This window comes from Homo sapiens, chromosome 3 (assembly GCF_000001405.40).
Source record: "Homo sapiens chromosome 3, GRCh38.p14 Primary Assembly".
Classification (NCBI taxonomy): Eukaryota; Metazoa; Chordata; class Mammalia; order Primates; family Hominidae; genus Homo; species Homo sapiens.
The window spans coordinates 120,095,039-120,123,015 of NC_000003.12; the positions used below are offsets into that span (position 1 = coordinate 120,095,039).

General features: G+C 41.5%; 1 long non-coding RNA gene and 2 pseudogenes across 9 annotated transcripts, besides 1 other annotated feature; 2 read left to right on the forward strand and 1 right to left on the reverse strand.

Annotated features, from left to right (window-relative positions):
• Nucleotides 66-15,341, forward strand: GSK3B-DT (GSK3B divergent transcript). Of its 9 annotated transcripts, none has more exons than NR_186628.1 (3): nt 66-740; nt 3,676-3,941; nt 13,136-15,341. It is a non-coding gene; the product is annotated as a GSK3B divergent transcript (long non-coding RNA). The 9 variants fall into 9 exon arrangements; NR_186629.1 differs by lacking the exon at nt 3,676-3,941 and adding an exon at nt 9,738-9,807; NR_186630.1 differs by lacking the exon at nt 13,136-15,341 and adding an exon at nt 9,738-10,344 and having other exon boundaries at nt 3,676-3,754.
• Nucleotides 198-517: an enhancer, noted in NCBI's record as "active region_20330". NCBI's record gives its function as "activates an Ori minimal core promoter by ATAC-STARR-seq in GM12878 lymphoblastoid cells {active_cell/tissue: GM12878}" and the evidence as "EXISTENCE:reporter gene assay evidence [ECO:0000049][PMID:35858748]".
• On the reverse strand, nt 15,460-15,748 carry RN7SL762P (RNA, 7SL, cytoplasmic 762, pseudogene; annotated as a pseudogene).
• On the forward strand, nt 26,871-27,168 carry RN7SL397P (RNA, 7SL, cytoplasmic 397, pseudogene; annotated as a pseudogene).

Here is a 27,977-nt window from a genome sequence, read left to right on the forward strand (position 1 = left end):
CAAGGTGGGGAGAAGAAAGCGAAGGGAGGGCGTCTATAAAGCGCTGTCTCATTGGCCTGAAGCTTAGGCGCTGGAGTTGGGGCAAAAGGGAGAGGGAGGGAGCCCGAAACTCGCGGCGGCGGCCAATCGGCTCTCACTGCCGTCCAATCGCAAGACCTAGCTGCAGTGTGATTGGCCTTCGGCCCCGGTCCCAGGAGCGGGGAGATGCCTGACTCGGGTCGTGGCTGACGACCCGACGGTTCGCCTGCGGCCGCCTCCAACAACGGTGGAAACCGCACACAGGGACCGCGGGCCCTCGGTGCAGCAAATCGGAAAGTGCTGCGGTCGGCGGCCCTGGGCTCTGAGCGCTCAAGCGAGCAGAGGGGTGGAGGGGCTCTCCCCACCCACAGGAGGCTCTCGGCGGGGCGCAGCCAATTCTGCGCGCCCAAGGCTCCCCTCTGCCGTGGATCGCGTGTGCCGAGTGTTGGCCTCTTCCCCGAAAGGGCCAGACGGACCAAGGGGGCCTTCCCAGCCGGCTGCAAGCTCTCAGACGCTAAAATGGGAACAAAGCTTCCAGAAAGGCAGCGCCTTTGGGCGGCCGCGCCCCGCCCAGCCGCGGGGGCCATTGATACAGAGGCTTGCTGCGCTTGGTGTGCGCGGCCCGGCCGGGCCTCTGGAAACGCCCATGAGAAATGAGCTCATGCTGGATGCGCGCGCTCCTTGGGCGCAACTGCCCAGCGCAAAACGGGCCCCGAAAGCAGGTGAGGGGAAATGCCGTCAGGCCGGATATCCTGAAGCCTCCGAGGAAATGGGGGGGTCAGAGGAGCCCGTGGTAGCTTTGGATCTTTTGGAACTAGGGTGATCTATAAAAGTGCAGCTTGAGAAGATTTCATACATAAGACCAGCGTCCATTGTTCTACCATAGAACCAGTTCCTTTGGTCTGCTTTAGAACAGTGAGGTATGGCTACGTCAAGATAACAGAGAAAGTAGAACAGACAGTTGCCATCCTGATTGTAATCCAGTGGTGCCTGTAATTTCTACCTGCAGAGTCATCTCTTTCTGTTAAGATGCTGTCTCCAGAAAGCACATGTTAAAGGACCTATATTTGATCAGATTACCTGGCTCTTGCTTTGAAACACTGATGAAGGACTTGGGACAGAACAAAGTAAGCTTTGATGGAAGACAGGAAAGGTCTAGATAGTGTTTGCAGATTCAAATGGCTACAGAGGCCAGACAAGTAAAGCAAATGAGTGAGACTGGCCTTGTGTAAGACAATGGGGAATGATAGGGAAAATGGCAAATTGGAATATCCATGCCATAACTAAAAGGAACAGCTGCTCAACTCTAGCAGATTGTTGCCCTCAGGAATGTGGGTCCAGTGTTCTCAGATGTTCAATTTTTTTCCTCCCAAAAGAAACCCCAAAATTGGATTTTTGTGTGAAATCTCTGCATTTTTAAATGTTGGTAACCAAATTTTCAAACCCTGCAGGCCAACCTAAAAACATCCCTTGGCCAATGAGGCATTGGAAAAAGTGTTAATAATTGTTAGGGGCCCGATAGCAGTAGGAGGGTGAAAACAAAATGGTTTGGGACCTTAAATAATTGAAATGTATCTTTATTTATTTATTTATTTTTGAGACGGAGTTTCACTCTTGTTGCCCAGGCTGGAGTGCAGTGGCGCGATCTCGGCTCACCGCAACCTCCGCCTCCCCGATTCAAGTGATTCTCCTGCCTCAGCCTCCCAAGTAGTTGGGATCACAGGCATGTGCCACCATGCCAGCTACTTTTGTATTTTTAGTAGAGACGGGGTTTCTTCATGTTGGTCAGGCTGGTCTCGAACTCCCGACCTCAGGTGATCTGCCTGCCTCAGCCTCACAGAGTGTCAGGATTACAGGCGTAAGCCACCACACCGGGCCGGTTGAAATTTATCTTTAAAATAGTGCACCTTTAATCCTTTTTTTATTTCTGTGTGTATCTTATAATGTGCATATCATGTTAGCTCAAGATCAAGAGTTTATGGACAAGCCAGGAGTGGTGGCTTATGACTGTAATCCCAGCAATTTGGGAGGCCGAGGCAGGTGGATCGCCTGAGGTTAGGAGTTCAAGACTAGCCTGGTCATCATGGTGAAACCCCGTCTCTACTAAAACTTTAAAACTTAGCTGGGCGTGGTGGCGGGCGTCTATAATACCAGTTACTTGGGAGGCTGAGGCAGGATAATTGCTTGAACCCAGGAGGTGGAGGTTGCAGTGAGCTGAGATCGCACCATTGCACTCCAGCCAAGGCAACAAGAGCAAAACTCCGTCTCAAAAAAAAAAAAAAAAAAAAAGTTTATGAACCACTAGTTTAGACAAAGAATAGTTGTACAGTTGTACAGATGGATAAGGAAGGAAAGAACATTCCAGGCAAAGAGAAAAGGTTATGCAATGGCTGAAATGTTTAACAAGGTATTTGGAGACCTTGAGATAGTTTGAAATTATGTAATGTCTAAGATGTGGGCCAAGAGAAAATAAAGGAAAATATCACAGGATAATAGAGGAGTAAAGTAAACTATGCTGTATTAACTCCATATTAGGCAGCCAGTAAAAATAAATACAACCACCAAAAGTAACTCAGAAATATGTTTAGGAAACAATACTAATTGAAAAATATAGAACTTCAGGTTGTATATCTACCATATTTCCAATCTGTAAAATATAAGTACATTTGGATCAAGATTGGAAAGGAAGACAAATTAGAATAACTCGTCAATAACATATTTAAATATAAATGAAAATATTTAAATGTCTTTGCTTAGTATTTTTATAATAAATTTCTATTTTTTTACTTTTATTTATCTTTTAATCTCACTGTTATCCAGGATGGAGTGCAGTAGCACAGTCATAGCTCACTATGGCCTTGAACTTCTGGGCTCAAGCAGTCCTCCCACCTCAGCCTCCTAAGTAGCTGGGATTACAGGTGTAAGCCACTGTACCCCACCTCTGTGTTTGATTTTAAGGGGAATTGGCCCAAAAAATAACATTTATATTATTTCTTCACTATGATTCACATGTCCCTCAGAAGCCTCTAATTACAATGGAATTCTTAAAAAAAATTCACATTTCTCAGCAAAGCTTTCCAACGAAAATTTTTATGATAATCCTTTGTCATATAAGTTAAAATAGTAAAACTAGACAATAGTGAGTAAGTATTATATTTGAGACACCTGCTAGGCATCTGATATAAGGTGGATGAGAGGATCAGTGTCCTTTGGGAGTTTACCCTCTAGGGAAGCAACTACATGAAAAGTTAAATAAATTATAAAAATCACATTTTGAATTGATAAAAGTTATGAGACAGAACATAATTTGGTTTTTATTTATTTTTTTGAGACAGGGTCTCACTTTGTCCTCCAGGCTGGAGTGCTGCGGCCTCAACCTCCCAGGTTCAAGGGATCCTGCTGCCTCAGCCCCCCAAGTAGCTAGGACTACAAGGGTGCACCACCACACCCAGCTAATTTTTGTATTTTTTGTATAAATGGGGTTTCGCCATGTTGCCCAGACTGGTCTCAAACTCCTGGGCTCAAAATCTGCGTGCCATGGCTTCTCAAAACGCTAGGATTACTGGCGTGAGTCACCATGCCTGGCCTATAATTTGTTAATATGGTTGTTACTACAAAGTTTAAAATAAATTGCCCATGCATTCCTATTTATAATAGGTGAGTGGAGGACACTTCAATCTAAAGTGATCTTAAAGGAGGAGTAGTAGGATTTGAAGATGAAGAAAGAAGAGGGGAGGTAAATTACTTTCCATCACTTCAATTTCAACCCATCAGATAAAACCTCTCTTTAGTAAACCTGCATGTGGGTGGAGCTGTAACAGCAATTAAGGACAGTGTGACTCTGTTCTTCTGACTTTGGGAAAACCAGTTTGGCTGGAACAAAAAGCTGATAGAGAAGACTAATGGAAGATAAGGTTGAAAAGGTAGGTTTGAGGGAGCTTTGTTACAGGAAAAAAAAAAAAAAAAAACTGGGCTTTGTCCTGTAGACAGTGGAGAGGTACTTTAGCAGATGTAAGACATTACCATTATAGGAAAGCCTCTGAAGTAACATACACTGTGGTTTTTCCTGTTGCTGAAAATATGCCCAGAGTAACAAGATGTGGCATAGTTGGTTATGTGTCTTATAACCAGTGAGGTGTGCCCAAATGGGAAATTAATGAATGACTACCCAAAAAGAAGAGGGAGAGTGTTTGAAACACTGTCACTGTGAAATAGACTGGTTGTATGAAAAGTTGCATATCAAGCCTTTGGCAAATTATATAAATACTCTGATTTTGACATCTTAAAGGAGTATACTATAGAAAATAAAAGAAAAACACTTGAATCTGTTACAGGAAACGGGTCATGATCCAGACCCCAGGAGAGGGTTCTTGGATCTCACACAAGAAAGAATTCAGGGTGACCCCACAGTGCAAAAGTCAAAGCAAGTATTAAGAAAATGAAGGAATAACAGAATGGCTACTACATAGAGCAGCCCTGAGGGCTGCTGGTTGCCCTTTTTTTTTTTTCCTTTGAGATGGAGTTTTCGTTCTTGTTGCCCAGGCTGGAGTGCAATGGCGTGATCTCGGCTCACCACAACCTCCACCTCCCAGGTTCAAGCAATTCTGCCTCAGCCTCCCGAGTAGCTGAGATTACAGGCATGCGCCACCACGCCCGGCTAATTTTGTGTTTTTAGTAGAGTGAGGGTTTCTCCATGTTGGTCAGGTTGGTCTTGAACTTCCGACCTCAGTTGATCTGCCCGCCTTGGCCTCCCAAAGTACTGGGATTACAGGCATAAGCCACCGCACCTGGCCTGGTTGCCCATTCTTTATGGTCGTTTCTTGATGATATGCTAACCAAGGAGTGGATTAATCATGCCTCCCCTTTTTGGACCACATAGGGTCTAAACTGTCATGGCACATTTGTAAACTGTCATGGCACTGGTGGGAGTGTAGCAGTGAGGACGACCAGAGGTCACTCTCGTCGCCATTTTGGTTTTGGTGGGTTTTGGCCAGCTCCTTTACTGCAACCTGTTTTATCAGCAAGGTCTTTAAGACCTGTATTTTGTGCTGACCTCCTATCTCATCCTGTGACTTAGAATGCCTTAACTGACCATCTGGGAATGCAGCCCAATAGATTTCACCCTCATTTTGCCCGGCTCCTGTTTAAGATGGAGTTGCTCTGGTTCACATGCCTCTAACAAATCCTTTTAGTTTTTCATGCTTGTCACATGTTTACTTCTAAGGGTATAATCATGTGGTTTACTATATTATTACCGATTAGATTATTTTGAACTACTTCAATTTTATTTATTTTACCTCATTTCCATTCACATTTTTTGAAAAGAGCTTTTTTATACAAGAGTGTAAATATTTTCACATTGAATAAATGAATTGAAAACAGTATGTGTTGATTGAATACTTGAAGTATACTTCTTTACAGCAAATTCTAGGAATTCAGCTTTGTTTTATGTGCATTAAAATGTAATAAATATAGGCCTGAGAAATTCTCAGAACAAATATTTTAGGCCCTCAGTAGCTGTAAATCGGGAACGGTCAGATTTCCTTCACATGGAAATGGGACTCACATCTCTCAGAATGGAACAGAAGTCTTTTGGTCTTTAATCTATGTCATGTTGATGGGAAATGTGAAAGCTACAAGAAAATTGGTATTTGGTTTCTTGGATATTGAATATCCTTGGCCAGGGGTGCAGGGAAGTGAAAAAAAAGTAAGACCTCCTATGGATCATCCAAAAAGGAATTTCAGAATGCAGAGAGGACTGGTCTCCCTTAATCAGGCCAAAACTTTATTTGAATTGTATCAGGATGCTTCATTCCTGTGCCCTGTAGGATGGAATCTTGAAAGAAAATGGGAAGGAATGTACAAAGCCTCAAGGAATGTGTTTCTCTGTAACATCTAGATCAGACAGTAGTATGAAGTGCCAGATATGAAACCAGAAAGGATCCTTATGAGAGTTTATAGCTCAGTTTTAAGATGTTTTACTATCTCTGCTGTCTTATTTTTTTATTTTTATTTTTAGAGATGGGGTCTCGCTCTGCTGCCCAGGCTGGAGTGCAGTGGTGTGATCATAGCTCACTGCAACCTCAAACTCCTGGGCTCAGGTCAACCCTCCTGCCTCAGCCATGCCCTGCCACTGCCCCCTTCCCCCGCAGTAGCTGGGGCTACAAGTGCATGCCACCACACCCAGCTATTTTAATTACTTTGTAGAGACAGGGTCTTGCCATGTTGTCCAGGCTGGTGCTGTTGTTCTTTATTTTTACAATGTATATTGTGTATGCACTAGTAGTGTTCAGTACTTGAAGATAAAAGTAGTAATTTAGGAAAAATAACCATTATTCCCCTAACTAAATCTTGCTACTCTTAGGACCAGTTAGGAGTCTTAGGAAAATATCAACTCTGATTGTTTTTTCTTTTCTGTTTGTTTGTTTTTATTGTTGTTGTTATTGTTTAGATAATTTGTTGCTCTGTCACCCAGGCTGGAGTGCAGATGTGTGATCATGGCTCACTGCAGCCTACCTCCAGGGATAAAGCAATCCTCCCGCCTTAGCCTCCCAAGTAGCTGGGACTTACAGGCACACAACTGACCTAGCTAATTTTTTTATTTTTGTAAAGGCAGAGGTCTTCCTACGTTGTCCAGACTGGTCTTGAACTCCTGGCCTCAAGCAATCCTCCCACCTTGGCCCCCAGAGTGCTGGGATTACAGGTGTGAGCCACTATACCCAGTCTGGTTTTTTTTCTTTTTTTTTTTTTTTTTTTTTTTTTTGAGGACTCAACATGTCCGAGACAGTTGAGTACACTTCTACTTTCTCTAACCACTTCTTGACAATTTGAATACAGTTTTCATTTTTAGTCTTCTTATCAAAAGTGTTCCAATTGTACTTTTTATCCTTAAGGACTTTAAATATGATTATATAGAATTTCATAAATTTTGCTGGCCTGTGTTGGACAACACATGAAAAGACACGAATATCCTAATTCCACCAGGAAGTGCTTGTTGTCTACTGTGTGCCCAGGTCTGTGCCACATATGGTGGGAAACATTTGCTTGCAACAAATTGAGAAAACTGCTGTATATGCTTTAAAACCTAACTGGTTTATTCAACTGCATTTTAAAAATATTTCCAAGGCCAAAGGCTCTTGGACCCTTTTAGAATTAAAAACAAATATCTTACACAGCCATATCAGCTGGAACTCTGAGGAAGCAAACTATCCTATGGAGGTTAAGCTTTTAATCTGGCATGAGAGGAGTTAAAGTGAAGTACTTCTAAGCACCAGAGAAACCATCTAGTGGGAAAAAAAGAATTCATCAACAGGGAGTTGCCAAATGAGGACACGCACATGCTTTGCCTTCATTATCTAACTTTCTTCCAGTATAAATAGAATTACATGGAGGTGTAAGGCATTTCTCTTGATCTCAGTCAATGCTGTGCACATCGTGGGAACTCAGTAAATGTTGGCAAAATGAGTAGTGTGATTGTAATTGAAAAAGCGAAACAATTATAACCATCAAAATTACAACTTTATAAAATATCTGCATATGGACAAGCACTCTGAGAAAATACTCCCCCCAAAAAAGTTGTTTTATTAATTTTTTAGTTTTCTGAATTTTTTCTTACATTAATTTTTTTCCTATTATCGGTTCTACAATATAATTTGAGTATCAAAATTTCTTAATTAGATGCATTCAAATAGAATCACAGCTTGGGGCAAGTCTCCGTTCACCACCAGGCTTCAAACATGTCATGGCATATCTGGCAAATTGGTAGTTTCAGGCTGCCAAGAGGTGATTTACATAAGGGTTTTGGTGGAAAGACTGCCAAGAAGTGTGGATGACAGAGAGGTGGGGGTTGGCCAGACTGCTTTTCAGTCAATTTGCACAGCTACAGTGCACCAGCCAGTGTTCCAGTTGGTCAGTGCCCATGCCATGCCAGCTGTTAATCCTTGGATTGAGGGAATGACACCTTACCTATCTTGAAGATTCATATTCCAATACAGCCTCGTGGAGTCCACTAGGAAAGTACCAAGAGCAGAAATAGGAGTGCACTAAAATCATTACTACATCACACAACATAATCAAAAGATGAGGGGTTACAGCTTGTTGCCACTTGTGCAGAAAATGATGGCACGATTTTGCAGTATTGGAGATTCCAGGAAACAAGCATTTTGATTCTTTGAGGGCCACAACGGAGGTCATGAAGATGTCCAGCAGCACATGGTAATGACCTGGCTTAATGGGGCTGGCTCACTGATGAGTACTAGAAGTGTTCAAGAAAACTCAGCAGCAGATATCCACGTGGCCGCAGATATGCCTTATTCTTGAGCCCATGTAAAACACTGTGTAGGGGCTCTTAGAAATTATGGGCAGAGGATTTTGCAAGGAGCTGAAGTTCGGCATCAGCAAGCAAAGACAGGAGCCAATGAAATACGGATTGCGAAACTATTCCTAATTAGTTCATTATTAATGTAATCAGATAGCTCATATAGAGTTAATGTAATCAATAGCTCATATAGAATATGAGAATGGGAGGTCCATCTGCTGTTTCCTCACTTGGTGGTCCCCATTTCCGCAAGGTTCTTATTTGTGTTACCATTTCACGAAAATGAAAGTATTGGTAGTTTTTAAAAACAGTTCAGGGCTTTTTTTTTTTTAACAACACAACCCATATATGCAAGTCAAATACAATTCTTCATCTGGTGCTCAACCAAAGAAAGAGTGATACATTCCAATACTGGAGGAAAAACTGGCCTGACTAAATTTATTGATATTTAAGGTCTTGTAAAGGGTAATTTTGAAAGTATGTAATTTCCACTTAAAATGCTATTTTAAGAACCTGAACCTTGCTGTAGTAGTTCCTTTTCATGCTGCTAATAACGATATACTCGAGACTGGGTAATTTGTAAAGGAAAAAGGTTTAATGGACTCACAGTTCCACATGGCTGGGGAGGCCTCACAATCACTGTGGAGGGCAAAGGAAGAGGACATCTTACATGGCTGCAGGCAAGAGGGCATGTGCAAGGGAACTCCTCTTTATAAAACCATCACATCTCATGAGACTTATTCACTATCACAAGAACAGCATGGGAAAAACCTGCCCCCATGATTCAATTACCTCCCCCCAGGTCCCTCCCACTACATGTGGGAATTCTGGGAGCTACAATTCGAGTTGAGATGTGGGTGGGGACACGGCCAAACCATATCAGCAAGTGATTTGGATGGGGACACAGCCAAACTTGCATCAAGTGAGGTTTGGCTGTGTCCCACCCAAATCTCATCTTGAATTGTAGCTCCCATAATTCCCATCTGTCATGGGAGGGACTCGGTGGGATGTAATTGAATCATGGGGGGCCAGTCTTTCCCTTGCTATTCTGGTAGTGAGTAAGTCTCACAAGATCTGATGGGTTTATCTGGGGTTTCCACATTTGCTTCTTCCTCATTTTCTCTTGCTGCCACCATGTAAGAAGTGCCTTTCACCTCCTGCCATGATTCTGAGGCCTCCCCAGCCATGTAGAACTGTAAGTCCAATTAAATCTCTTTTTCTTCCCAGTCTAAGGTATGTCTTTATCAGCAGCGTTAAAATGGACTAATACATTTGCCTAAGCGGAAACTCGGGTTCTACTTTTTATACAGAGCTTAATAGTTTATAATGAACATTATAGTAGTAGTTGTGCATCAAAACCTATAAGGTGGGCAAAACAGGTAATACTTCTCCCATTTTACAGGTTAAAAAATGGAGGCAACAGCTGGGTACAGTGGCTCACTCCTGTAATTCCAGCACTTTAGGAGGCCAAGGTAGGCAGATCACTTGAGAAAAAGAGTTCGAGACCAGCCTGGGCAACATAGTGAGACCCTCTCTCTCAAAAAAAATAGCCAAGTGTGATGATGGACACCTGTAACCCCAACTACTTCAGAGACTGAGGCAGGAGGATCACTTGAGCCTAGGAGGTCAAGGCTGCAGTGAGCTGTGATTGGGCCACTGCACTCCAGCCTGGGTGACACAGAGAGACCTCTCTAAAAAATAAAAAAATAAAAAAAATGGAAGCACAGAAAACTATACCTTTTCTAGCTCAACTTTACCACATTGATGAAAAAGTATTGAGCAGCCACAGGTACATGACATTCCACTATGTTCTTGGGATAATATTAAAGAAAAGGCATGAAGGTATGCTCTGAGCAGGCAAGAGAAGTCACATAAAATGAGAGTAATTTATAATGTGATTTTTTCCCATGGTCCTTCTTTTTCTCATTTAACTGTTTACTCCTTTATATGTTATAGCAATTGTTGTTTAATAATTGCATTAAAATAAATAGATGCCTTGGACACTGATACTCTTGGAATACAGAACAATGTTCATAGCATTTAATATATGGATACAAGATTTTTTAAAAGGAAAGATGTATATATAGGGTCCTACCAGATTAGAAGTATGATTGCAGTTGGAATTTAATTAGTGAGCACTTACTAAATACCTATTATGTGCAAAGTATTGTACTCAATGAGAGTGAATTTATGTATTTATGTATTTATGTATTTATTTATTGAGATGGAGTTTTGCTCTTGTTGCCCAGGCTGGAGTGCAATGGCATGATCTTGGCTCACCGCAACCTCCGCCTCCCGGGTTCAAGTGATTCTCCTGCCTCAGCCTCCTGAGTAGCTGGGATTACAGGTGTGTGCCACCATGCCCGGCTAATTTTGTATTTTTAGTAGAGACGGGGCTTCTCCATGTTGGTCGGACTGGTCTCAAACTCCCAATCTCTGGTGATCCACCCACCTGAGCCTCCCAAAGTGCTGGGATTACAGGCGTGAGCCACCACGCCAGGCCCGAGAGTGAATTTTTTAAAAAGAAACAAGACATTATCAGTGTCCTGAAGAATTTTGAATCTGTTTTGGAAGAAAAAAGATATAGGCTAGGTATTTTGAAGGTCCTCAACAAATATTTGTTGAGTGAATGGATGGATGAATTATTACTGGCCCAAGGCAACATATGATGAATACCAAGAAAATGAGGGCATGTGTACATACATAAGAGTTCAGGGCATAGCTGAAGTGAGGAATGGAATACTCTACTGGCCAGATCCATCCCATATACCCACCCTTGAAGAAACTGTCCCCACAAGAAAGAGAAGTTCCATTACAAAAAAAATTTTTTAAGATGAAGGGCTGCAACAGCACACTGGACAAATGAAAACTACTGCTACCCCAGGCCACTATAGGCCTACTTTGTTAACAGATTCCAGTAGGATATTTATGTTCCATCCCCAAAGCAGGAGAGGGTGCAGACCAGTGCCAAGAAGGAAATCTGGAGCTATGTATCAAGAGAACAATCTCACATGGGATTGATCACTAACTTTATAAGGATGGACAAGGCAGATGAGAAACAAAGTGGAATTAGATAACAGAATGTAGACTTTGACTCTCTCACTTTTAAGGACTGTGAAGTTGTGGAAATAGTAGAAAGGTCAAAGAAGGGAGACAGTAGACCATTATATCAATTTTTTAAAAGACTGCAAAGAATATTAGATTCATTATTAAGACTTTAGAGGCCTCTACAACTATATAGAGTCAGAATTATGAAGGTAAAGTCACATTGCAGGGCAACTTTGAATAGATAGAATACTTAAGCTAAGGAAATCAGGAATTAGAGGTAGGTAACAGTACACTCAGAAGGTATGGGGATACTAAATATTTCTCTTGAACACAAAACAGAAATTGTCCTGACCCCCTTCCCCATAATGTCTTGAAGGAGTAACTTGAGGCCAGTATGACAATCACTCTGGAAGCCAAGAAGTGGCTGTCTTCTATCTAAATTAAGATTTGCATTACTTGCTAATAGAATGGAACATTAAGCAGTAGTTTGGAATCTTCCTCACAGAGAAAGTACAAGCCAGTGGTGGCTCATGCCTGTAATCCTAGCACTTTGGGAGGCCAAGGCCAGCAGATCACTTGAGGTCAGGAGTTCGAGACCAGCCTGGCCAACATAGTAAAACCCTGCCTTTACTAAAAAATAGAAAAATTAGCCAGGTGCAGTGGTACATGCCTGTAGTCTCAGCTACTCAGGAGGCAGGAGAATTGCTTGAACCCCGGAGGCGGAGGTTGCAGTGAGCCAAGATCATGCCACTGTACTCCACCCTGGGCCACAGAGCAAGACAAACCAAATTGAAATAATCCATGCTGATATTTTGTACATCTGCAGGGTTAATGGTAATCTATAGGATTTTGTCAAAGATACAGCAAAACTTATCTCCAAAGGGAATGAGTCAAAAGTTGCAAATTTTAGAGACTGGCTAAAGCCTTACAAGCAATCTAATACATTTTTTCCCCTCTGGAAAGTGCCCAAAGACCCAGTGAATCTGGGGACAAACCTCAGTGCTTCTGCCAGGTTCCCATTTAAAAGAGAGACTGGACCCTTACCTTGAACTTTAGTGTTGAGGCTATAGTCTATTGGCATCCAAATGATTACTTATGAAAGAAGCTTCATCATGCTCCCTTAAAAAACAACTTATTCCCTGCCAAAACTAGGATTGTGTTGCTTTAGGAAGAGGATACATACTATGTGACAGCCAAATGATGATTTGCCAAAAAAAATAAAAATCAAGGCTGGACGCGGTGGCTCATGCCTGTAATCCCAGCAGTTTGGGAGGCTGAGGTGGGTGGATCAGGGGTTTGAGACTAGCCTGGTCTACATGGTGAAACCCTGTCTCTACTAAAAATACAAAAATTAGCCTAGTGTGGTGGCTCATGCCTGTAACCACAGCTACTCAGGAGGCTGAGGCAGGAGAATCGCTTGAACCTGGGAGACAGAACTTACAGTGAGCCGAGATCATGCCATTGCACTCCAGTCTGGGCAACAAGAATGAAATTTCATCTCAAAAAAAAAAAAAAAAATCAAATTCCATTGTGATGGCAAAAGAGCCTCCTATCACCCAGAAGAGGGAAGGTAGCCTATATTAGACATGGCCTTACAGACTGTTGACGAGGAACTTGCTGAAGGCTACCTGAAAATAAAATAATAGGAAATGGGCATTTTGCTATTTAATGATCTGGAAAATTGGAAACCACCTTGGTCTAGGCAAATCCTTGGGGAGGAAGTTTAAGTCTTTTTTTTTTTTTTTGAGACAGAGTCTCGCTCTGTCGCACAGGCTGGAGTGCAGTGGCGCAATCTCGGCTCACCGCAACCTCTGCTTCCTGGGTTCAAGTGATTCTCCTGCCTCAGCCTCCCGAGGAGCTGCGACTACAGGCACGTGCCACCGCACCCAGCTAATTTTTGTATTTTTAGTAGAGACGGGGTTTCACCATACTGGTCGGGCTGATCTTGAACTCCTGACCTCATGATCCACCCGCCTCGGCCTCTCAAAGTGCTGGGATTACAGGCGTGAGCCACCACGCTCGGCCAGTTTAAGTCTTAAGTGTTAAGGCAAAGCACTTAAGGTAGCCACACCTATAAAGTGGAATTGTCAGGTCATTTTCAACCTATTTCTTTGCCTATGAGAGCTCTCATGTGACATATGCCTAGTCTACCTTCAAATGAGAAGATAGCTGCCCTGTAAAGCACTTGGCTGTGGGAGGCACTCTCACTTCCCAAGAGGTTGTATATAACTGAGTCAATGTACACTCATGGGGATGTCTAGGAGGCCAGAGATCCACTTGCCATTCATGTGGCTCCAGAGGCAGTGGACTTCCATGCTTCATTACTCATGGCCACTCCCCAAGAGTACCTGCTCTAAGTAGCCATCAGTAAACCATTCCATAAAGAAATGCTAATGTGACCAGGTGGCCTAAAAGAGTCTGTGGTCTGCTGCTTCTTGGCCCTGGATTAGGACTGTTTCTGTTGTTGGAAAATATTTGATTCTTGAGGGGGATGAAATGAGGCAGCACCTGTGAAAATTGTTTGAAAACTCTAAAGGCCCGTACTTGTGTAGAGGATGTGGGTGAGATGACTACTGGTAGACAAAAAAAGTTAAGCTCTCTACCCTGTATTTTCCTCTTAGATTACAATTTCTTATTTAAGTATCTCTTCAAGAAGACTGGAGTGGAATCTTTTCCCTTCTGGGTGGTAAAACTAATGAGGGGATGTTTGCCTTGACTTTGCTATTACAGTATATGTGTGACATCCCTAAATCCACTCTAGTGCATCTTACACACTTGTCAGATTTATCTAACTCTCACACCATTGTCATCACTTCCGCCTGCCCCTCAGGAACCTAAATTGATACCTCTGCCTATCATGGAAAATCTAAACTCTTCAGTCTTGCATTCAAAGTTCTCCTGCAACTACCTGCCCCAGCCTCCATCATCTTTCCAATCTGACCTCTCCTTGCTTCACACTGTAGAAGCAGGTACTCTTGGAGCTGACAGTCATCAAAAAGATGGTGCATATCCAACTCTCACATGTCAAAGATGGGGAAACTGAAGCCCAGAGAAGTGAGGTGAATATTCCCAAGGCCACACACAGTCCTTCCACTGTGGCTAAGACGACATGCTTTCCATTCCACACACAACTTGCTCCTCTGGTCCTAAGCCATGGGGCGAGGTGAGTAGAACTGGTACCCAGAAAACAGTATGGCATGGGATAAATGGTAGATAAAGCAATGTTGAGAATTAAAAACTCCAATGTGCTTACAACACATAGCGTTCTCAGCAAGTGAACTTTATATAGAATTTGCCACCCTCATAGTAGGGAATTCACTAAAGCTGGGAATGAATGTGCAAATGTTTGTTTGCTTTGTTTTGTTTACCACAGAAGCGAAATTTGTGACAATCTTTTTCAACCTAAATTGAATAAATGATTCAGGACAAGAAATGATTACCAGATGTGTCAGGGTTTTGATGGGAAATGGCCCATCGAATTATTATTGTTTGCCAAGTTTTCCCCTCACGATTGAAGCTAACGAGGTCATTTCAAGGGTAATCATGCTGGGGAACCTCGATGCAATGACGCTGTTACAACTTGCCCAATTTGAAGCTAGGAAACCACGCCTCCTTTGGAAGGTTTATGTGGTAGGAAATGGGGGGTCATTGGTGATCGAAACCTCACTGATTATCATGAATGGCAAGAAGAGGAAAGCAGTGAAGGAAAAGCCCTGATTACAAGAATATTGTTAAATAAATCAAAGGAAGTTTTATAAATATTCAAATATGTAATGTAATTCAAATGAGACGAATCAACTTTCCACATCTGCTTTGGTGAATAGACAAGGATACTTAAAATTTGTGCATTAAATATTTGAACATAAATTACTGCTTATAATGTGTTTGAGGTTTTTAAAATGTTTTCTTTAGTATTTAAATCACCATAGAACTGAAAAAATAAAGCATTTAATCATTATTTTTGCATTATGACTGTAACCAGACTATAGGACTTATTCAGATTATTACAAATTCCAAATAAGTGGAGCATGAATTAGCAAAGCTTTTTGTTTTTGTTTTTGTTTTGTTTTGTTTTTAGAGACAGTGATATTGCCCAGGCTGGCATGCAGTGGCTATTCACAGGTGTGATCTCACTACTGATGAGCTTGGGAGTTTTGATCTCTTTCTTTTCTGACCTGGGTCGGTTCGCCTCTACTTAGGCAACCTGCTGGTCACCCACTTCCGTGAGGTTACCATATTGATACAGAATTTAGTGCAGCCACTGGATCAGCATAGCACACTACAGCCCAGAATTCCTGGACTCAAGCGATCCTCCCACCTCAACCTTCCTAGTAGCCAGAATTACAGGTGCACCACCCTGCCAGGATAATGACATTTTAATTTGCCTACAAATTATTGCATTAGTCTGAGTGTCCAGGTTAAGATTTAGTGCTTTTTAAACTTTATCACTAAAAAACCATCCTATTGCACCAGGATCTGCCCATAATGAAGCCTAAAAGCAGCCTGATGGAACAGACTTTGTCCTCTATGCCACAAAATAGCTGTTGGTTTTAATATAAAAGTGCACACCTCTCCCCCTCCCATAAATGTACACACCTAAATTCTCCAGTAACTGACTCCTCAGGGAGATGCTTCACGTCATCCACAGCTTCACTCTCCTGGCACATGGTATAGGTGCATCAAGAGCCCTTCATAACGCAGGAGGAGAAGCAGGGTGTGCTTGATTTATGTTTAGAAAAGACAGGTTTAGAGGTCATATCATCCAATTGGAGTGGGGAAAAGTGGCTGTGCTTTGTATATGAGCAAAGCTCAATGAATGTTTATTGAATTGCAATAGTTGATTATTGAAATGACAAACTTTTTGTAACAGGAAAAGCCCTACATAAACATAATGTATTAAACGTAAATACTGATTAGGCAATCCCTTGATATGTAATTCTTTCAAGCCCAAAACTCAGAAAAAGCAGCAATGTGTGCTTTTACTATCTCCTCCCTCAGGTGGGCTTCAATTTCTTCTATTTATTCTAACCTCCCCAGTTAAACACTATTCCCTTGCTAGAGATCAAAGTAACTGCATTGTTTCAATTCTTTATTAACATTACACACTTCTCGGCCGGGCGCGGTGGCTCACGCCTGTAATCCCAGCACTTTTGGAGGCAGAGGCGGGTGGATCACCTGAGGTCAGGAGTTTAAGACCAGCCTGGCCAACATGGTGAAACCTCGTCTCTACTAAAAATACAAAAATTAGCTGGCCATGATGGTGGGCGCCTGTAATCCCAGCTCCTCGGGTGGCTGAGGCAGGAGAATCACTTGAACTGGGAAGGTGGAGGTTGCAGTGAGCTGAGATGTGCCACTGCACTCTAGCCTGGGTGACAAGAGCAAGACTGTCTCAAAAAACATTACACACTTCTCAAAAAGCAAGAGGGTGAGGGTTATCCCTTTCTAATTTCTGCTTCTTACTCCCAAACATAGCTTGAAAATCCTTTTTGCTTGGCTTTGGCATTTTGGGGCACATCTGGATTCATTCCAGGATTTGTCTTCCTGACACATAAATGCAGAAGTGTACACTGTCCTCTTACTTCTCCTGAGTTACATGCACATCAGACAGGCCTCAGGTTATCTGCCTTTGTTATGTCCCGAGCCTTTCACAGATAAAGCCCAAATAACCTCTACCTGCAGGCCCCAGCCTGCCTGAGCCTGTGAGTCAATTCTCCCTAAAGCCAGAAGAGTATCAGCTTCAGCCCCAGCTGTCTGAAGTTAGGCTTGCTGCCTATAGTGTGCTAGCAATAAAAAAAGTCTGGGGCCTATAAGGCTTTGGAGTAACAGCATCTTCAATCTGTGCTGGCCTCAGCCATGCAACTGGGAAACAGCAGAATGCAGTGGGGAGAGTAGTGGCTAAGGAGCCTGCCAGGTTAAGGTTAGGCTTCCCATTCTCACCCTTGACAAGTCACTGAACCACCTGTTTTCTCATCTGTCAAGGGAAGGTCATCTCTAATTCCCATCCCCTGCAGGGTCTCTTGGTGTTATCTATATTCAGTCTTTCTGTTACACTGTTTTCAAATTCAATACGAGTAGAGGGTTCCCTCTTAATTTTATGTCTCAAATTATCTTTGCCTGATAGGATGACAGAAAATGTACCTAATGTTGCCAGGCGCGGTGGCTCACGCCTGTAATCCCAGCACTTCGGGAAGCGGAGGTGGGCGGATCACAAGGTCAGGAGATTGAGACCATCCTGGCTAACACGGTGAAACTCCATCTCTATTAAAAATACAAAAAATTAGCTGGGCGTGGTGGCGAGCACCTGTGGTCCCAGCTACTCGGGAGGCTGAGGCAGGAGAATCGCTTGAACCCAGAAGGCAGAGGTTGCAGTGAGCGGAGATCGCACCACTGCACTCCAGCCTGGGTGACAGTGAGACTCCATCTCAAAAAAAAAAAGAAAGAAAGAAAGAAAGAAAATATACCTAATATAAGGTCAATCATTTGCCTTCTCTTGTTATTTCTGTTCAAAATGTTTTATTTTTCTTACCCTTAAGCCATACTTTCAAACCATAAAGCTATGGGAGGGCAGCAAAGCCTAAGATTAATAATAATATTTAGTGAAGACTAATTATGTGGTAGGTACTGTCCTAGGCACTTGACATGGATTATTACACTTAATCCTTGAAACAGCCTTATGAGAAAGGTGCTTCATAAGTAGGCACTATGAAGTCAATATGATTGCTATTGTACAAATGAAGGAACTGAGGCATGAAGATGTTAGGCAACTTGCCCCGGGGTCACACACACCTAGTTAAGTAGAGAGGGATACAGCAGAAGTTTGGAGAGAAAGTTCTTAATTATACCAATAGGTTATTATCTTTCTCACTTCAGCAGTGGTCATGTCTAATTCAGTCCAAATAATAAGTAACTTATTGCCTGGTGTGACATTAATTTATTTGTTGAATATCTTCTTGGTGCAAAGCCCTGTGCTAGAAGACTTGCACTAGGGGAGATTATAAAAAGAGAAAGATGTGGTCCCTGCCCCGAAGAAAATCAGAAGCTAGTAGGGAAATAGAATAAGAAATAATGAATTCCAATACAAGTAAAACACAGTACATGCTTTAATAGTGCTACAAGCTAAGTGCCACCTGGCCCAGAGGGTGAAGCAGTATGTGTTGGTGTTACACAGGAGGCTTGATTAAAAAGTTTATTTTGGAGTTGAGCCTTTATGGACAAGTAGGATTTTGAGAGGCGGAGAAGTGAGAGAAAGACATTCCAGGCAAGGGAACCACATGGGCAAATACTCACACTGAGTCGCTATTGACTCACTAACCTCAGTGCAGGGTTTGTTCCTGGATTAGCAAGGAGTTTGGCGTTTCTAAGCCTTAGGGTGTATGAGAGGGAGTCCTAATTTGGTAGGCGATAGTAGAAAGGCAAAGTCATAAAATCTCGGAATTGAAGATCCCCAAAGGTCATCTAATTTAGTAACACGTCCAATGCCTAGAGCTCTGCCAAGTCATCATCAAAACTAGGCTCAAATAGTTCTAACATCACATGCATTATTGTCTCCTATGGCAGCCCATCCCATCACTGTCTGAAGTTATATTGCCCATTTATTTATGTGTATTTGCTGATTGTCTGTCATACTAGAACTCAAGTTCCATGATGGCAGAGACTGACTTACCTGTCATGTATCCCCAGTGCCTAGCACTGCAGGCATACAATCAATATTTGTTGAATGCATTCCAGCTCAGGACAGCTCTGACATCTATAAAGTTCTTCAGTAATTTCCACAAGATAGTACTTTACATATATGAAGACAACTAGCCCTCTTTTATCTTTTTCAAGTTAAATATCAACAGTTAGTCAACAATTCCACATGAAAAAATAACTTTGGGCCTTTTCACTATCCTGATCACACTCTCAAATAAGCTCCATTTTGTCTCTATTTCTTTTAGTGTGTTGCTGCAAGAACAGAAGGCAATATTCCAACTCTGTGACCCCCTCAAATTAGAGAGGTCCTATAAGCTCTCTTATTCGAGGTGTTACAGTGTGACCCAAGATGGCACTAACTTTGCTGAGGTCCACTTCACCCTGTTGCCTATGTTTCTCTGATTGTCAGCTAACCTCCTTTCCACTCCCTTCACCAGTTGCTGTGTTCTACTGCTTGCTCACCTGTCTCTTGTCCTGACTTGTGTAGGTAGATTTTGAAAACCAAGTCCACGGCCTTATATTTAGGAGGCTCTTACAGTAATCCAGAACAAAAGATACAAGGTATTGAACTAGAGCAGTGTAGCCAGCAAGGAAGAGACAAAAAGAAAAACATATCTGAGGCATTGTCAATGGGACTTGCAATCTACTGATTTAGTGACCACTAGCACGCTTTCTCAATGGATGCCTCTCTCTCCAGACCACGTATGAATTTGGAGTCAATTCCCAGTTTCTCCCTACCTCACTGTCTTTGAAGCAAGCATGCGACTCTTTTGAAGTCTTCTATACATTTTTTTCCCAAGTTACTGTCTATAAAAATATATTAGGAAAGTTCAAAGGCAGCAAGATTTCTAGCCAGGATGACTGAAAAGATGGTAGTTCCATGACTAAGGTAGGAAATCCAGGAGAAGGACCAGATATTAAGGTGATAATGAAGCACCTGGTTTGGGATGTGTTGAATTTGATGACCTGAGGACATCTAGCAAACAGTTTGAAAAGTGTTTACTTCTTTGGCTCTGGAGTGCAAACTGAAATGTATATCTGTGAGTCATCAACAGAGATGCTTGAAGCTTTCCCCAGAGAATGAGAATTTTGATTATCATTTAAACTGAAAAAAAGACAAGACTGAGAAAAAAACGTTTAACAATGACCACATAAAATGGGTATTTGAAGGAGGAATCCCCCAGAAAGAGAGAGAGGGGAAGGAAGGCTCAGGCGGTATGGGGAAAACTTGATGAGTTTATTGTCAGGGGCAAAGCTGGACATTATTGCAGAAGGAAGAGAAATCAGTTACATCAAACACAGCAGAAATCTCCTAGAGAACAAAACTTCTCATGATGCTACTGAGTTTATCAATGAGGAGGTGATCTAATAACCTTAAACAAAATAATTCCAGTTTTAGAGCCAGGTCACAAGCAGTTGATAAATAAGGAGTAAATGGTAGCAATGAAGTCAAAGCGGTAAATGTAGACTGCTATTTTGAAAAGTTGTTATGCAATACATGTAAACTAGAAAAGCAACAAATCTATATGATATTTATATGATCTACATATTCTAAAATATAACATGGGGTTAATTACTATTTCATTGTAATGTATGACTCTAGAATTAATCATTTTATAGACCTTATGATTGCACTAGGTGTTCAAAAGATCTCACTATATAAAAGAGAATAATGAAGTACCAGCCACTTAGGAGGCTGAGGCAGGAGGATCGCTTGAGCCCAGGAGTTTGAGGCTGTAATGTGCCATTATTGTGCCTATGAATACCCACTGCACTCTAGCCTTGGCAACACAGTAAGACCCAGTCTCTAAAAAAAGAAAATAAGAGAAAAATTGAAATACATAGATTTCATTGAACCTAAATAGGGCTACATGTATTTTCTTGTTGTTGTTGTTGTTTTTTTCCTGGTTCCCATTTAGGTGTCTAATTATGAAATGGCCAATCAAATCCTTATTTTCTTCGAGATCAGTTTTCATTTAAGTCTGCCTGGATTGGATGGCAGGTCAAGCTTTTTAAACTTTAACCCAACATAGATTCTGTCAGAAGCACCACTAGGTCTGGTGAATTTCTGGATCTATTCTGTATTGCCTCCTAATCCCTTGGGGTATGAATCTCTGAGAAGCCCTTTCACCTTCAGCCCTGGCCTCTACCTCCCACATGTTGTGGGAAGTCAGGGACCCCTAACAGAGGGACCGGCTAGAGCCGAGGCAGAGGAACATAAATTGTGAAGATTTCATGGACATTTATCAGTTCCCAAAATTAATACTTTTATAATTTCTTATGGCTGTCTTTACTTTAATCTCTTAATCCTGTTATCTTCGTAAGCTGAGAATGTATGTCACCTCAGGACCACTATTGTACAAATTGATTGTAGAGCATGTGTGTTTGAACAATATGAAATCTGATTGTAAAACATGGATGTTTGAACAATATGAAATCAGTGCACCTTGAAAACGAACAGAATAACAGCAATTTTGGGGAACAAGGGAAGACAACCAAAGGTCTGACTGCCTGCGGGGTTGGGCAAAATAGAGCCATATTTTTCTTCTTGCGGAGAGCCTATACACGGACATGCAAGTAGAAGAGATATCGCTAAATTATTCTCCCAGCAAGGAATATTAAATATTAAGACCCTAGGAAAAGAATTGCATTCCTGGGGGAAGGTCTATAAACGGCTGCTCTGGGAGCATCTGTCTTATGTGGTTGAGATAAGGACTGAAATACGCCCTGCAGTACCCTCAGGCTTATTATGGTGGGGAAAAAATCCCGCCCTGGTGAATTTGAGGTCAGACCGGTTCTCTGCTCTCGAACCCTGTTTTCTGTTGTTTAAGATGTTTATCAAGACAATACGTGCACAGCCGAACCTAGACCCTCATCATTAATTCTAATTTTGCCCTTGCCTTGTGATCTTGCTTTGCCCTTTGCCTTGTGATCTTTATTGGCCTCAGAAGCATGTGAACTTTGTTCTCCTTTTTTGCCCTTTGAAGCATGTAACCTTTGTGACCTACTCCCTGTTTGTACACCCCCTCCCCTTTTGAAATCCCTAATTAAAACTTGCTGGTTTTGTGGCTTAGGGGCATCACAGACCTACCGATATGTGATGTCACCCCCGGAGGCCCAGCTGTAAAATTCCTCTCTTTGTACTCTTTCTCTTTATTTCTCAGACCAGCTGACACTTAGGGAAAACAGAAAGAACCTACATTGAAATATTGGGGGCAGGTTCCCCCAATACCCACAGATTCATAGGATGCCAAATCTGGAAGTGACTTTAGGGTTCTTCTAGCTCATCTCCCTTAATTTCATAGGTAAATGAAATGAGGCCCACCATGAGAAAATGACTTGTTCGGGGAGCATTGTTGCCAAGTGACAGCAGCATGAGCTTTAGGAGTCAGAGCTGGGATTGAACCCTGGATCCATTATTACCTAATTGTATAGCATTAAATTAGGCTCTTCACCTCCTGAACCTCAGTTTTCCCATTTAAAAATGGGGCTAATGATCATCACACCTGCCTTATGTAGTTGCTATGTGTATTGAATGAATAAAATGTGAAAGCACCTAGTCAGCTCCTTTCACATGGTAGAAACTCAACAAGTTTATTCCCTCCTTCTTTGCAGAAGATTTCATAGCCAATGTGACACAAGCAAAACTCAAAGCAAACGTAGGCCTCTGACTTTCAGGCCGGAAACCTGTTCATACACAGGGATCTTCATATTGAGGTACCCCTAGAAGTATCTGAAGACTTGCCAACGGGTACGGGGGCATGGATAGTTTTAAGAAAATGGATTTCCAGATCCTGAAGTTCCATATGAACTCTTTCTTAAAATTGATTAGAGTATGCAGCTGCAGTTGGGAGTTTCATTTTCCTCCTCATATTTCACAATGGTTCTTCTACTTTACAGAGGAAAACATTTAAAGTCTTACAGATGTGCAACTGTAAGATTTAAATTTGCACATCACCTGGAAGTGTTAAACCTCCAAGCAATAAAGGAACATTGTGACAATTGCTTTAATCAAGATATATAAGCTGACTTTCAATCCATTTCATTAAGAGATTCAGTTCCAATTATATTTTACTTTATAGGTTTAATAAGATTATTAAAATTTGTGATAAAGTAGACTATTTTGCTCTCTTGTGAACTCCTAATAATTGTTTTAGTGGCTCAATGAAAAAAGAAAACCCAAAGAACAACAACAAAAATCCCTTTTTGGCCAGGCATGGTGGCTCATGCCTGTAATCCCAGCACTTTGGGTGGTTGAGATGGGCGGATCACCTGAGGTCAGGAGTTCGAGACCAGCCTGGCCAACATAGTAAAACCCCGTCTCTACTGAAAATATAAAATTTAGCCAGGCGTGGTGGCACACATCTGTAGTCTCAGTTACTTGAGAGAGTGAGGCACAAGAATCACTTGACCCAGGAGGCAGAGGTGGCAGTGAACCAAGATAGCACCACTGCACTCCAGCCTGGGTGACAGAGTGAGACTCCATCTTAAAAAAAAAAAAAAAAAAAAAAAAAAAAAAAAATCTTTTCAACCTTTAGAGTTTTATGGTCACAGGAATTTTTTTAACTTTCAGTTTACACCTGTTTATATATTTTCACTGTTAAAGAATGATAGGGAGATCAATGAAAGACCTCAAGCATAGAAATATACTGTATTAGGTTAAAGTCTATGGAGGAAGTGGGATGGAAATACAAGTTCAAGAAGAAAAAAATACCTTATAAAAATTTCAACTGTGAAAGCTGAGCTTGCTATAAAGTTTTAAAATGGATGAGGTGGATATCAAGATACTCTGATTTTAGAGAGCACTGGAAAAACCTAAAAGAGTGATGAAATAGATTTATTTATAATATCCTGGAAATTATATCCTTTCCAATGCTTTAAACTTATGATGAAAAAAATTTAAATGTCAACTTAATAAATGCATTAAAAAGAACAAAATTTTTCAAAATTATTTGAAAAAAAGGTACTGCTGACACAACCCTGGAAAGGTCCACAGCTGCCTCACAGTCTTACTGTTATTTTGGCCCTGCATTGAGGGAGATCTTCCCCCTTGGTTCTCACAAGTAGACGCATGTGTGTGTACCATGCATACAACATATCTCCAGAGCTTTGTATCCTCTTCCTCTGACTCCACGTGCTTGAGCCAACATTTTCTTCCTTTGCCTTTTTGCTTGAGCTAACATTTTCTTCCTTTGCCTTTTAGGGGTATCTGTTTCGCTCCAAGCCCTGTATGTTTACACTTGACCCTTTTCAGCCCCCTCACCACCCCTTTGTACCCCTTTGTCCCCCTTCGCCCCTCACACTTGTCATTTCCTTCTGAAGTTATCACTTTTCCTGCAACATAGTTATTAACCTCTTGCTGAAGTTGCTTTGGCCATTAAAGGATAATCAGCTTCTTCCTTCATCTATTTCTCCAACAGAAATTCTATCTTTAGGGCATCAGAATCGCCTGGAGGGCTTATTAAAGCACAGATTACTGAGTCCTTCCCCCAGAGTTTCTGATTCAGTATGTCTGGAGTAGGGCTTGAAAATTTGCATTTCTGGCTGGGCGCTGTGGCTTACACCTGTAATCCCAGCACTTTGGGAGGCCGAAGGAGGTGGATCACTTGAGGCCAGGAGTTCAAGACCAGCCTGGCCAACATGGCGAAACCCCATCTCTACAAAACATACAAAAATTAGCTGGGCATGGTGGCTCACTCCTGTAGTCCCAGCTATGCAGGAGGCTGAAGCATAAGAATCCCTTGAACCCAGGAGGCAGAGGTTGCAGTGAGCCGAGATTGTACCACTGCACCGCACTCCAGCCTGGGCAACAGATACTCTTGTCAAAAAAAAAAAAAGCATTTCTAACAAATTCCCAGGTGATGCTGGTCTGGAGACATCATTTTGAGAACCACTGCTCTAAGCTAATGTTTCGTGTGCTTGTCAGAGGTCATGTGGCTAAAGGTAGGTACCTGCATTTCTGAGGCTAAAAGTGACATCAAAAGAAGTATCAGGTATGAAGCCAGGAGCATAAGTGCTTTGTCAAAGATATTTCTCATGCAATCTAAAAATTCTTCAGGACTGGATTGATTTAAAGCAGAAATCAGAGCAAAAGGGTCATAATTAGGAAAACACTGTCTCAAAGTTTCACAGTAGCCACCTTCTCCTCCAACCTCCTCGCCAAATAGAGGAACTCACATTCATTGCAGCCTTTCTAAATGCCAGACATTTTTCTAGACAAATTCCCGTGTGCTATCTCATTTAGTCCTCACGTCATCCTTACAAGCTAAGTTTATTATTTTCCTCATTACCCATAAGAAAACTGAATTTAAAACTGAATTTTAAAGCCAGGCACAGTGGCTCATGTGCCTGTAGTCCCAGCTACTTGGGAGACTGAGGAAGGAGAATCGCTTGAACTCGGGAGGCGGAGATTTCAATGAATCGAGATTGTGCCACTGCACTCCAGCCTGGGTGACAGAGCAAGACTCTATCTCAAAAAAAAAAAAAAAAAAAAAAAACCTGAATTTAACTTAAACTGAAAAGCTAAGTTCATTGGAAATTATCCTCCGAATTGGTTCACTGTTCACTAATTTCAGGCGGCCATACAGAAGGATGAAAAAGTCATCAGATTGTTAACTGCTGTTATAATACAAGCAAGTACAGTACATTCTTCAAGAAAATCATGTGAAAGCATGTTTTAAAAATTAAAGAGAACAGGAAGATTTCCCTAAAGGATAAATAGCTGGTCCCATTCAGGTAATTCATCCATCAACAGAGAACAGAAGAGAATCTGGAATTTCATCTCATCTACTACTCTATTGATTTTAAAAAGGCATTGGATTCCATCAACATAACTCAGTTCTTTCAGCATTATTAGAAAAAAGAAACCACACATAATATTGTATGATTTAGAAACTCAACATACATAAGCCACAAGAAAACCACCCTAGATCAAAGAATATTCTAGCATCTTAGAGAATGGACTGATAAAAACAAATAACTAGGAAATGTTTCTCATTGTATAGAGCAATTGCATAAGGCTGTGTGTGTGTGTGTGTCTGTGCATGTATGTAGTGTGTTCCATATCATTAATATTATCAATGTCTGGAATCTAATAAAAAGTTACCAGACATGCAAAGAAGTAGGGTATTATAACCCATTACGAGAAGATAAATCAATGAAAATCAATCCAGAACTGACATAGATTTTAGAATTATTGAATAAAGATATTAAACAGGTATCCCATAGATTCAAAAACTTAAGTAGAGGCATGGAAGTTATATAAAAAGTTTAACAAGCTTTTACAGATTAAAAGTACAATGTGTGAGATGAAAAACACGATAGATGTGATTAATGGCTGGTTAGAAATTGCTGGAGAAAAGATTAGTGAACTTGAAGACATATAAAGGCAATAAAAGCTATCAAAAATGAGACAAAGTGAGAAAAGAAAATTTTAAAAATACAAGAACGTCAATGAACATTAAGAAATCTAATATACATGTAACTGAGATTTTTGAAAGAGAAAAAAGAGTGGGCAGAAAAATATTTGAAGAAATAATGGCCAAAATTTTTCCAAGTTTCATGAGAACTGTAAATCCACAGAACCAAGAAGCTCAGCAAACCCCAAGTATAAGACATATGGAGAAAACAGTGACAAGACACATAATAAAGTGTTCAAAACCAGTGATAATGGAGAAAGCTTAAGAGAAATCAGATATGTTACATATAGAGGAACAAAGATAAAGATGCAGGAGATTTCTTGGTAGAAACAATACAAGTGAAAAGACACTGAAACATCTTAAAAGTACTGCAAGGGGCCAGGAGTGGCAGTGCATGCCTGTAGTCCCAGCTACTTGGGAGGTTGAGGCAGGAGGATCCCTTGAGTCCAAAAGTTCTGGGCTGTAGTGCGCTATGTCGACTGAGTGTCTGCACTAAATCTGGCATCAATATGGTGACCTCCTGGGAGTGGGGGACTACCAGGTTGCCTAAGGAGGAGTGAACTGGAATCAGGTCAGAAACAGATCCGGTCAAAACTTCTGCTCTGATCAGTGGTGATCATGCCTATGAATAGCCACTGTACTTCAGCCTGGGCAACATAGTGAGACCCTGCCTCTGAAAAAAATAAAAAATAAAATAAAGTATTGCAAGGGGGGAAAAGCTTGTCAATCAGGAAAAGTATCTTTCAAAAATAAAGGTAGGATAATGAATTTTTTCAGACATACAAAAGCTGAAAGTTCAAAAATTTATCATCAGCACACTCGCTATATAAGAATATTTTTATTTCTGCCTTTCCCATCCAGATGTCTTTTATTTCTTTTTCTTGCCTTATTTCACTGGCTAGAACCTACAGTACAATGTTGAATAAAAATGGACATCCTTGTCTTGTTCCTGATCTTAAGAGGAAAAGACATCTTTGTAAATAGTCCTTGTATCAAACTCTCTTTATCATCCATTTTTTTGTTGTCGTTGTTAATGGGGACTTGCTCAGTCTGTGGCCCAAACTGGAGTATAGTGGTACAATCACAGCTCACTGCAGCCTTGACCTCCTGGGCTCAAGCCATCCCTCCACCTGAGCCTCCTGAGTAGCTGGGACCACAGATGTGCACTATCACACCTGGTTAATTTTTATTTTATTTTTGTAGCTATGGGGTCTCACCATGTTGCCCAGGCTGGTCTTGAATTCCTGGCCCCACCTTGGCCTCCCAAAGTGCTGGGACTAGAGGCATGAGCCAGTGCACCCAGCTTAGTCATCCATTCTGAATGCACCACCTGTTTCCTATCAATATCATATCAATTTTTTTCCCTAAATAGAAGGCAAATCAGAATCAGAAGGTAGAAATTACAGAAGACAGAACATGGCTTGGCATTAAAAAACGAAGACAAAAACTCTGTTTTTTTTGGAGACAGAGCTTACTCAGTCGCC